This window comes from Homo sapiens, chromosome 3 (assembly GCF_000001405.40).
Source record: "Homo sapiens chromosome 3, GRCh38.p14 Primary Assembly".
Lineage (NCBI taxonomy): Eukaryota > Metazoa > Chordata > Mammalia > Primates > Hominidae > Homo > Homo sapiens.
In genome coordinates, this window is record NC_000003.12 from 21659577 (window position 1) to 21672682 (window position 13106).

The following is a 13106-nucleotide window of genomic DNA, read 5'->3' on the forward strand; positions in this document are numbered from 1 at the left end:
AACCACAGGAGGACCATTCTTGAGATACAGTTGCACCTATAGAAAATTCAAATTTCCCCCGTCTGTCCTCTTCCCAACACCCCACCACACAAACACCGGAAGGTAAGTTCCATAATTGTAAGAATTTAGTTTGCTAGTTTCACTACTGAATCCTCAGGGCCTAACACATAGTAGGTATTCAATAAATATCTGTTGAATAAATTTTTAAAAACCCCACTGTCTGGGAGTGTAAAAATTGTTCAATGTATTTCATCTTTCTCCTGCCTTCCCCTCCCTCTGCCTACATATGTTCAAAATCTCAGGCCCCTCCCCAGAACTTTTGATTCAGAATCTGTACTTTTAACATGATTACCTGTGATTTCATAGGAGAAGCACTGCTATAAATCACATAAATTTCACTTTTCTGTCCTCCAATGGATAAAACTCCTCGACTTGTTGATCAAAACCCAACCTCACAGTACACTCAAGTTTCCAGCAGTTGGTCCTTTGTAAAACTAGGAGTCAGCTGCTAGGACTTGATCTCTCTCTCTCTCTGTCTCTCTCTCTTTATCCCCCTCTCTTCCCCACCTCCTCTCTTTGCTCTTTCTCTTTGCTTTCATGATAAAATCATATTATACAGAGGAGCAGCACAGAGTAAAATTTCATATGCTAATTTACATTTTTAATGTTAAAGAACCATCAGCCAAAGCTAGCTAAAGCAAAAGTTATCCTCTTTTATTGCTCTTTTTTCTGCCTCTCTACTTCCTATGTGACCTCCTCACTCTTCCTTGTGCATATCCTAGAAGGCAGAATAACTAAATATTTACTGAGTATCTGGCATCTGCAGGCACAGGAAGTCAGTTTTCCTCATTTAATCTTTATACCAACTGGAAATAGAGCCATGGGGACGGGGGCATGGTATCATGCTCAGTCAGTCCTCATGAACACATTCTCCAAAAGTAGTACTTTTTCAGTGACATTCTAAAAGTTTATTATTGTCACAACTGTGAGTTAGAATATGAAGAAAATACATATGTTAGAGAAATAAAGAATAAAAGGGAAATGGTGAGACGCTAGGAGAAAACTGTCATAAAATGTGGCCATTTTTTCATGATTACCTTCTGTTCTGAACAACAACCCAAAGTCTGGCCCAAGCCATTCTCCTTCGATCTCTAGCATTTTAAAAGCCAACTATACCTCTGATAACAAACCTAAGAGTCTGGGCTTTTAAATTGTTTGTTTAGTTATTTTATTGTACAGGACACTGGGGCTCTGATAGATTTAGCCTTTGTCCACAGTTACAGAGACAGTCAGCTTTTCTGATTCTGCATAGTGCTTTTCATTCTATCACTGGCATCTCAGCACCAGGGCCACCCCTGCTTTACATCCCAGAGACTGGAAGCCTGAGGCTTATATGCCCATGGATCCTTGCCAACAGTGCCCAGGTATATTAGACGCCACTGAAAAGAAATATTTCACAGAATGTGGATGGAAATAACTGGGATTACTGAGTGTCCTGTGTCTGCAACTCCATGACTCCATGAAAGAGAACGGAAAAAAACGAGAGCTAGCAACAGTCTTCTCTGACCTGTTTGTCGAATACTCCCAATGGTTTTGTATGCACCTAAATCCTTAAATTATTTCCCATTCGAATGCCTGGAATAGTTTGTATTTTTTTCACCCAACCCTCACTAAGACAACCATACAGCCATTTGCTCCTGTACTCAAGCTAACATTCTATGCTGTACATCTTTCTGTATAAACACACTTTATTAACAAAAATTTCCTTATTTGTCAACTTCACCTTTACAAACTGAATTGTTTTCATGGCAGAGGTCATAACATAATCTGTTTTCACTGTTTCTGGCACATAATGATGCAGCTGCTGAATAACTAGCAGTTGACTGAATGAACTAAGCTCAAACCCCTTTCTAATATTTCTTCCTAAACATCATCTATCTACTCCCATGACTGTTCTCTTTCAAGAAATACAAATTCAGAAGAGGATCACTGGGATCAGAATATTTTTAAGCACTGAAACTCTAATGTCTTAAGAGATTAAAGGGCAGGCTGGGAAATACGTGAGGAATTCAAGGAAAGCTATCTTTTGTGTGAAAGCTACTAGAACATCAAGGGATACATTTCTAGGGAATAGCTTCTGTTGTGGCTCCTTAAAAGTTGGCTTTGAGGAGACTAAGGGATCCTGATAGTCTCATTGAATGTCTTATTTTATACCTATAACTCAGCTCTGATTCTACATCTTTCCTTCCCCTCCTAACTATGCTTACTTTTATAGACGTTTCATTCTTGCTGATTCACACCCAAACTTCATGGTTTATGCTCTTGTGGAAGACAATAATAAGAGATATCCACTTATATTTTTTATACATTTTATAAGTATACATTTTAAAATTTTTCCTTTATGTTTCTGCCAACTCTATCCCAAACAGAGAGATGACTGCATATTCATATCCTCAGGGGAAGAATATAGTCTCTGATCACCAGGCAGAGAGTCTCTGATCATCATGGACTTTGCTTTATAAAGGTCATATGGGTAAAAGTTGTTGGGTGGCAGAGTTCATCACTTATCATCAAAGAAGGGATAGCTGTATTGTGGATCTAGGTAGGAGGGACTGCTGACTGCCTTGCAAAGTTTGTGTGTCTAAGCGTGGCACAGAAAAAGCTGAGAGCCAGGTGCCTAAAGGGTCATGCTAGCCAGGTGCTGACCATCTCATGAATGCCTATGTGGATAAATAACTTGATGATCAGAGGAAGTCTCCCACCAAAGCCTTATAACCTGTTAGATAATTGTTGGAGTCCAAAACCTTAGCATACCCTGAAACAAAATTAGAGTGGATTTCCCTCCAGCCTGATGAAATGGGCTCTCTTGAATGAGAAATAAAGTCAATTTATGGCAGTAAAAATTACGTTTTATACATACCGAATTTTTGGGTTTTGATTCATATCTGCTATAAAATCAAGAACTCAGACTGTTACTGAAGGAAATGCTCTGTGCCCTAATTCTGAGTCAAAAGCTACCTGATTATGGGCTTTCCAACAATTCACTTCAGTTGGAAGCAAGGAATGACTTCATCCTTGGCTGGCTATACCTTGACCATCACTGGAAGGGAATAACCAAGGAAAAAGCAACAGTTGGAGCAACAGAGGGCCTCTTGGTTTAAGTAGAATAAATATCAACACAAGTTAAAATCCATGATGGAGGAAAAAGAATCAAGTCAAACTTTTGCAATCAGTTAGACAAGGAACTGTCACATTTTCAGAATCAGAAGGGTTTACAAGCTGCTTATGAGCATGCTGCTTATCACTTAAATAGTGCTTGTTATATACCAAGCCCCATTCTAAACGATTAACCCACACAACCCTTACCACAGACTTATGAGGCGTATTATATTATTAGTCCCATTATGTGGATGAAGACTTGATGACACATGGGAGTTTTGTGACCCTTCCAAGGTCTTATCGATGGTAACAGGCAGTTCTGAGATTTGAACTTAGTGTAGCTACAGAGTTCAGCTTGACCAACACACAACGCTGCCTTTGCCCATGAAAAAAACCCACAAATCTCTGAATGGTATAACCTCCCAATAAAGAGACTATCATACCTTTTATTTTAAAGATGAGGAAATAGCAGCAAAGAAGGTAAAGAGATTTGCTCAGGATCATGTAGCTCAACACATCACTCATCTTTGTTTTATGTTAAATGATATTCATTGTCAGTCAAGTTAACCACTTTGTTATTAATATTTCCCAAGAGGCAAATCAAAAGTTTTAAATCCAGCCTTTTATGGCCTTCCAGGAATTTTACCTAAAATGCTCTTAAGCTGACATGGGACCGCAGTGATGGGATGCCAAGTGGTCTCAGAGGCCAGAAAAAGCACCTTGATGGGTAATTCCCCTGGGTGTCTGGGACACAAGGCTGTGCCAGGAAACCACTTAACAGAAGAGCAGGCAAGAAATCAAGGAAAGGGAACCCAGGGGATTTCAGTGTAGTCATTTAGGAATAAGGGAATTTGATGCTGAGCAAGGTTTCCTCTACTCTTAATGAAACACCTAGGATTAGAAACCTGTGTTTTGTAAAGGTGACCTTTATGTTGCTTTATTTATGAGATATCAATTTCAAAACGAGATTCGTATGGAAAATTCCTCTCCCTACAAAAAGCAAAGGGATCATTTTGATTCTCCCTTGTCTTTTAGCAAGGACTAGCATATAGCTGTACTGACTCATTGACATGTCCAAAGGCCATGTGACAAAGTACTGTTAAGGAAAATAAGACCCACTGCTATCTCCTGAAGAATTATTTAATTGTGGGCCGAATATATATATATATATATATATATATATTTATTTATTTAAATCCATCATGGGGACAAGATATTGCAACAAGAAAGCTGTGTTATTTAGATCACTGGACATTGAGTGACCTCTCATGTTAATCCTTTCTGCTTTGGTTGCATTGACATGTCCTGTCATTGACAAGCTCAGACTTGCCTTTTAACAACCACTGTTGTTATCTGAAGGCTGAAAAGATAATATTAAAAAAAAAAAAAGTCACTTACTCGTTTCTAACCTTTTCAACCCTTATTTCAATTTTCATCCTAAGAATACTCTTACTGATCGCAGAAAAAGAAACACACGATGGTGAAAATGATGCATCTGCCAACTTACAAAAAGACGTCTTAAAAGTGAAAACAGAGGCAAGAAAGTAATTGAACCTGTGCTGAGAGGCTATTGACAAAGCCCAAAGAAACAAAGAAATATGAGAGTTAACTTGGGCAACAATAACACACACTAAAACTCTTGCTACCAGAACCCTGAGTTGTTTTAAGTTAATGGTGGGAAGAAAGTGCTGTATACTTAAAACATAATCACTGCTGCCATTGTCAAGGTCCTATTTATTAAGTTAGAAAAACGTAACAGATTTGGAAATTAAAATAGATAGAAGAAACACATTTTTAATTTTTAAATACCTGCTGAAATTCTAATGTTCTCTCTAATAAATACATTGTTTCAATATGGATGTATACCTACAAAGCTATAGAATTGTTGCTGTTGCCCAGAAGACACTAGAGGGGATACATCAACTCATGATCAACCGAATCGGATCGAATCTCTTTTTATTTTCCTTGAAGGAGCCTGGTTCTGGGGATTTTGCCTAACCAAGCAAACAACTAACTTCATTATGGCTTCTAGACAAACCATGCAATGAACAATATAGCAAAATGGAGGCAGTGGCCGAACCAACCCTGGCCTTTAAGTTAGTTTTCCAATACCTTCCACTCAGGCAAAGACAAATTTGGCAGGTACTTACCGCATTGAAATTGGGGAAGAGGTTGACTGCAGCTGCAGTGTCAAGAGGAAAGGGAAGAAATGGTTTAATATCCAGCGATGGTTGCAAAGGAGGGGCTGGTGGACGGACAAGGGCCGGGAGAGCAGGACTCTGGCATGTACCACCTGTGAAGACCAGAGCAAAGGGAGCAATCAGGGACACCACGCATGGAAAAAAACACCAAAGTTGCTTTTGAGACAAAAAAGGCCAGCTTTGTGGGTCACTGGAAAAAACAAGACATGGACTCTATTGACCTCAACTGGGAACCGGCCAATGAGCAAATTTGCCATTAGGCAGAGGGAGCTAGTTGAACTGCTCCATTTTCCTTTGATTATAACTATCTGGTTATGTAAGTAACATCAACATTTCAAATGCCCCAACCTGTCTTTATTTTCCTGCCTAGAGCTCCAGATTGGGTCAGTCACAAATCTGCAACCAAGATCTCTGAATTCAAAGGGAAAACCCCTCCATCATGCACCCATCCCTCTTTGAAAACTAAACCACTCACAATATGCATTAAGTCTGAGTGATTATTTTACAGAACTGCTCTTTGCTACCACATCCAAAACTCTGGCAGCAAGATTACATGAACTTGGCACATAAAAGAAATTTAACCTCGAACTCAGGCAGCTGTACCTTACTGCTCTAGCAACTGGAGGATTAAAAACCAGCAAAACCAGTGCTACGACGATGTCTGAACTATTCAGCACCCCTACAGCTCTGAGTATTCAACAACTCCCTGCCTCCCTCCCAGTCATGAGTAGGTGGAATTTAGATGGCCACTGTTGAGCAGGCAGTGGGAATATTATGCCAACAAAGACATCCCCTTTGCATGCCAGTAAGTAGCCAGCCTTTTGCAAGAGAGCACATACATTTGCCCCGTTATAGGACTCTGCCACACTCAGGAGCTGGAAGGATGGAAGCCCATCTTTAGTGTTCAGTCTCCCATATTTTGGTAACATTCCAAAACATCAATTTGCTGTTAATTAAAGGCTGTTTGAATCCTAGGAAACTGTTAAAATATGCCAGCATTCTTCTAATCTGAGAGGCAAGCAACAGACTGTAAAAACCTGCTGGTGAGAATCCAACAAGCATTAGGAAAGCAAAATGCAGTGGGATTTTTTTCTCTCTAACAGTAAAGAATTCTAGGAGACATGCTTGCGCCACTTACTTGCCTGCCATCTCGTTTTTAAAAACAAAGTAGAGTGAGTCTCCTCGTATAAATTGCCTTTGCAAATTTCACAACAAACTCTCTGGCCAACTGCACACAGAACATCATCTTGCCCTCAATCAGTTACCAGAGCGCAAAATTAACATTCTGAAAATGATTCCCCAATGATAAATCCAACCCTATGGAGCCACGGAGGATCTGCTAACAAGGTAGATGACTTAGTACCTATAACAGAAGCCATCAGCACAGGATTTAATTAACCATACACAAGAACCATCAGCTCTCCTGCTCCCAGGTATAAAATCAGCTGGAGCCAAATTAAGAAAAACAGTATTTTCCCCCACTGTCTTACCTTCCTTCTTGAAATAATAATAGCACGGCCAACAATAGCAAAGTCAATAACTGAAGTCTGTAATCAGTAAACTAATTTTCAAAGTAGTACAAGGCAGTAAATAAAGGGCAGATGTCAAAACAAGTAGAGATAACAACGAAATATAATAAGTCTACATTCACCAGAGCACACACACTATAAACTTAGTTTATTGTCCACTTGGTAGTGTATTGAGTGTGAGTGTGTAACCATTTTTAGAGAGGGCATCCATAAAACTTTAGTGATAGACCTGTCATGAGTTTAGTGTTGTTAAAAGTTTCTCTTTTATTAAAAATTTTAAAAACCAAAATAAATTTTTGGATGGTACATCTTTAAAAAACTCAGAAGTAAGGCCAGGTGTGGTGGCTCACGCCTGTAATCCCAGCACTTTGGAAGGTCAAGGCGGATGGATCACTTGAAGTCAGGAGTTCAAGACCAGCCTGGCTAACACGGCGAAACTCCATCTCTACTAAAAATACAAAAATTAGCCAAATGTGGGGTGCACACCTGTAATCCCAGCTACTTGGGAGGCTGAGGCAGAAGAATCACTTGAACCCAGGAGGCAGAGGTTGCAGTAAGCCGAGATCGCACCACTGTACTTCAGCCTGGGCGACAGAGCAAGACTCTATTTCAAAAACAAAAACTCAGAAGTAAAGTAAGATTTGGTCGAAATCAGTGATGTGGTGAAATTTAAGAAGTAGTTTTAAATTACTTTTATTTTTGTTGTTGCTTTTGAGACAGGATCTCACTCTTGTTTCCCAGGCTGGAGTGCTGTGGTGCCATTATGGCTCACTGTAGCCTCAACCTCCCGGGCTTAGCTGATCTTCTCACCTCAGCCTCCCAAGTGGCTGGGACTACAGGCGCATGCCACCATGCCCACCTAGTTTTTGTACTTTCAGTAGAGACGGGTTTTTGCTATGTTGCCTAGGCTGGTCTCAAACTCCTGAGCTCAAGCAATCCACCCACCTCGGCCTCCCAAAGTGCTGGGATTACAGGTGTGAGCCACCATGCCCGGCCCTAAATTACTTTCATTTGTGTCACACATCATTCTTTGCAAATGATATTCATATACATTCACCTGGTTTGATTCTAAGATTTCAGAAATTCGGTAAGGGTTAACAACATAACATCATGTAGAGAAAAAGAAATATGTTGATAAACTCTGCAGTTGTTTATCTTGCTTCCGCAGAAAATACCATGCTTATAATTACAAGAATGCAATTTAGCAAGAAAATATTCTACAATTGTTTATTTTAAGTCCTCCTCTGGTTTAGGGTATCCAAAGAAGTTAAGGAATAGCTCAAGCTGATTTTTTATCTAGCACAATGAGAGATATAAATAATAAAAATATGTCCATTCAATTATCATGTAAATTTAATTTCCCATTCTCTCTTTTAGGATATCTATTTCATTTATACTTGTATAAACAGTTCAAGGTCCTCTCTCAGTGTTGCAACTGGAGTTTCCTTCCTAGGGGTTAAAAAAACCTTCAAAGAAGAGTCATAAAAACCTTAGAAAGTTCGAAAAAATATTTAAGCTCATCTCTTCTCACCTGTTGGAAGAGAGCAATGTATAAGATTGTAGGAAAGCAGAGGACATGTGTCTACATATTTTTAGACTATCTGCTATGCAAATACAGGTGTAGGGATGCTGTGGGTCTGATTCCCAGAACCCCCTTCGGCACCAAGGCACTCCTCTCAGCTGCTTGGAGTGCTGGTGGCTGATGTCCCTGGCCTGAGAGCCTCTTTACAAATTGCCCTGGGCCAAAGGGAGCTGCCTTACCTAAGGTGACCCTTAAGTGGAGGAGTTGATAGCCCCAAGCAATGACTGATTCATGCAGGAGTTTACTGGCTTTGCCCCCTTGCCTCAAAGCAGGAAAACTCTGAAGCTCTATTTTACCTCCAAAGTTCCTCATGGCATCTAGGGTAGGCTGAGGCCTCTGCTGTGACTACATCACAGTCCAGCTCCTTCCTCTTCCCAATCCTATATCCCTCACGTCTCACAAATGATGTTTCCATGAGCACTCCCTAATAAAGTCTCAGAGCTCACTTTCAGAATAACTTGATCTGTGACACCAGGATACAGCAATTCAGGTGTTTAAGTAAAATGAAAAATTGCTTTATTCTAAAATAGATGCTTGCCTCCAAACCTATAGCACTGATATTGAGGCACGAAATCGAAGCTACTTCTTAAAAATTATCTGTGACTAACATTTCTGCTTTTGAAATCTGGATTAGTCCTAAAATATTTTACTTGTACCAATCTGTACTTGCTCAGCAACAAGAATACTATTTGCAAATAGTGCAAAATCAAAACCGGCAAATATAATATGTTTCATCTGTAAAGCAAAGTAAAATATTCTCTTTGAGAAAATAGCTATTTCGTTTTCCCATATTTAAATAGAAACTATTGCATCTAAGGTATGAATAAATGTTTATTATTTTACTTATCATAAAATTATCTTGATAACTATAAACATGAAAATGTATAATAGATTTGTAGACATTTCTATAGGTGAGAAAGTTTTGTTCTTAATGTTTACCAACAATGTCACTTTATTCATTGGAATGCCACATTTCTGGAAATATTAATATTCTTAATTGAAGCAGGTCTTTTAAAGCCTCCATGGAGTAGGGTCAGAAAAATATATAAACTCTATGTCTAGTACCACATATTTCATAGCCTATGCTATTTTATTACACAGTTTTAACAAATTAGTCTGATTTCAGAGAAGTTACTATCTCTACACCAAAATTTGTTGTGTGACATTAAAGTCAACAAATGACAAAAGCATTTATTAGTACAGAATAGCAATCAATACTGAATAAGGTACTGAATAATTAATGTAAACTAAGTGATCATTAATGTTCACAAAATTCTTCTCCCTCCTTTTTTGATGTTTTTGTTAGCATATGTTTAGAATTTAAGTTTCAAATGCGAACTATAGAATAAACATAATAAATGTTGTTTCGGTCAATTTAAAAGGGCCGTATATTCACAAAAGTACTAACTTGTGAATATGAAAAAACAAAAACAGAGTTACTAATTCCTAAGTATTTGTTAATAGAGACTGAGAAAGTAAGACACATTCATTTCAGAAGTTTGCATTTTTGAAAAGCAAATTAATATGTAAATTTAGACATGTTTGTTTTGATAATTCATACAGATAAATAGGAACTCTAAACCAGTGGTTGTCAGTGGAAATTTACTGTATTAGATAATATATATAAAGTGCCCTAACACAGTGCCTGGCCAACTGGCGCTCACCACATGAGAAATATATTTTTTAATGAACCGAAGAACTTCCAAAGCAGCTACTTAGGCTTTCTGAAAGCAGTCAATCAAGATAATTTTAAAGCTACCTTCATTTTTTTCTCTTCGCTTATCTTGACTGCCTCAGAAGAATGATCACAATAAGAGGTTACTTTGTAAATTAATATATTGAAATACTCCATGAGAGTGCGGTGGTTTTCTCTCCATAATACAACGCTTTTAACCTTGAACTTCTGCACTCAATCCATTCAGCATTCGTCAGTCACAGACATCCTGCCTGACAACTTCATCTTAATCTTAACCTTAATCTACTACTTAATCTTTCATTTCCCCAGGTGACAAAACTGAAGTTCAAAATGATCACGGATTGCCACTGTTAAATATTCATGCCAATGGAGAATTTCGTGCATCATTAAAACATATATATATTGATAGAAAACAGCAGAAACATCTAATTTCCTGATAGGATCATTTCTATAGTATCTTTAGTATCTTTTCCCTACATCATCAACTTATCTGTATTGAAATATATATACTTATTTATATTAAAATATATATGCACTTATTTATATTGACATAAATACTTATGTTGAAATTATGTGTTTTTCAATAATAAGCTATGATTACATTACTAAACTCCTCCAAACATTCACATATAGCAGGAAATCATACAGAGCATTTTGTATAATATTAGATCCTAAGTAGTTATTTAATAAGCAACTAATTTGACATACATGGAGAATTATTCAAATCCATTTTCAAATATTTCAGTTAGAATTTGCTATGTCCACCGGGCAAGAGAGGGACTCACTATAGGAATTCAGAGGTCTATGTGATAGTAGGCATAAAAACTTTAGATCTGATCCTACTAATAAGAAGTCGAAAATAAATAACGGCATAAATGCTGAGAAATAAAAATGAAATCCTAAGGCGCCCCCCCCCCCCCCCCCCCCCCCAATGACTGAACGAATCCCCTTTGGCCAAGGAGAACCCAAAGAAACCTTGAAAACTGAGTTCCCAGCCATGAAGGGATGGGAGATCAGACACGCCTACTTATACCCCCTCCCTCACTAACAGCCATTAGCCTTTCTTCCTTATGGGCTAACCAGAAACTAGCCCTTTCAACCAAACAACTGATGCTGCTCCGTTTTAAGTTTCCACAAAAAAAATGGACCAGCATTCCTTGTGGGTAAGAGACCACCGATGGCAGAGTGCTTCTTGCTCAGTCTAGGGAGAATACGCAGTGAAGGTTTTTGTGTCCTCTGCTACCCTATTTGACATCAGAGGGCTCCAGACTTCAGCCTTGGATCATGCTAACATCGCCATTTTTTGAACACAGGTCCCACGGAGAGGCATAAAGCTCAGTTGTGCATGTACATCTTCTACTTTCATAAATATTCATGGCTCCTTTTATAGCATATTACACATGTATTTGGCCACCTCTTTCAGCATAAATTCCTGTTCCCTTCGTCCCTTCCTTGAAGTGTCTGTTTCTGGCTTCTGGTTGGAGGCTATGCTTCCCCGCCTGTCAGAATGGCCAGCCTGCAGGCTGCAAACGTTTATGAAAAATAAAGCTCTCCTTTCCAAATTTAAGAATATCATCATTCTTCAGTTAAAAAAGCAAAACTTGATTTGGCCAAAACATTGGCCATGGAGTGCTGTAGTTAATGGAATTGGCCAGCCAGGGTGGGAGTAAAGCTAGAGAATATAGATAATTTAATATATCTATTCATTAATTGGCATGGATTAGCCTTCTATCCTCTTAATTCCTTTAAAACACACAATTCTGCCAGGTATCTCTTATAATATCCAATGTATAAAATCAAAAGCCAAGCTTCTAGGAAGCAAAATATCTTACCAGAAAGAAACTGAACAACTCTAATGATTTTTAATGCACTGATACAAATAGCTTTTGAACTAAAACAACAATATGATAAAAACAAAACAAAACAACAATTTAAAAAATACACCTTACAGAATCATTTTGTCAAATTAGTTCCGAGACATAATTTGTTAAAGCCAGCTATCTTATGAGAGGTTTTTATGAAAGGAAGGTGGAAGGAAGGAAGGAAGGAAAGAAGGGTCACATTCCTTGTGAAGGAATATTCAGTATTTATCGCTGATTTTTATCCCCAGCATGGGAACATGCTGGCACTGCCTTATATTTGAAGAAGAATCCAGAAAGATATGAGTATCATATCAAATATGTTTCAAAACCCCTCAAATTTACATTCTTTAACATCTGCTGACCAAATCGGATAAATAAATATGTGTTTGTCACATTCCCTTGCATGTCTGCCTCTCAAATATTCAAGGTTGTTGGTTGGGGATAACAATGAGCAATTTTCCTGTTGGGATTTTTTACTCTTTGTCCAGGAAAATTGTATGTTTACCCATATTTCCTTAAACCTCAGTCATCCAAACTCCATCCAGTTCCCATCTCTGTCAACAGAATGATATAACTAAAAACATATTTTGACATAATATTTGAATTTAGTATGATTTGGTAACCATTTTTCTTTCGTTGTTTCTTTTTTTCTTTTCTTTTCTTTTTTTCTCCCCGCCCCTCTCCTCTGTTTTGGATTGTTGATTCACTGACTAGGTTTCAGAAAGTTGATCCAGCACTTACTATAAAGCTCCTCATTGACCTAAAGTGAACTGGCCTTAGCAGGTCAACTCAAATGTTGAAACTCAAGGTCTGATCCCATAAGGGCAAGTTGTCAGCCCTAATCCACACAGGATGGTGACTGCTGTCTCATACATCCTGCTTATGACCACAGAGAGGAATGAGGTGAGAATGGGAGTATGAGTCAGGGCAATTGGAGCTCCATTCTGGAAATACTGATTCAAAAACATTTGCCCATGTCAATGGTCAGTGATTCGATCTTTTCCCATGAAGGAAATCACATGGAAGTGATCTGGGTTTCCCCTTGTCCAAATTATTTATTCATTTTCAGTTGTGGTA

At 38.3% G+C, this 13106-nt stretch overlaps 1 protein-coding gene across 17 annotated transcripts in view; it reads right to left on the bottom strand.

Annotated features, from left to right (window-relative positions):
- Positions 1 to 13106, bottom strand: part of ZNF385D (zinc finger protein 385D) — a 960546-nt gene that overhangs the window by 247359 nt on the left and 700081 nt on the right. For 16 of the 17 annotated variants that reach the window (NM_024697.3, XM_017007192.2, XM_017007191.2 and 13 more), the window contains one exon: positions 5310 to 5452. The exons of the other annotated variant lie outside the window; for it this stretch is intronic. In NM_024697.3, coding sequence (NP_078973.1) covers positions 5310 to 5452 — 143 coding nt within the window. The remainder of the gene's footprint in view (positions 1 to 5309; positions 5453 to 13106) is intronic. 17 annotated transcript variants of the gene reach the window in all.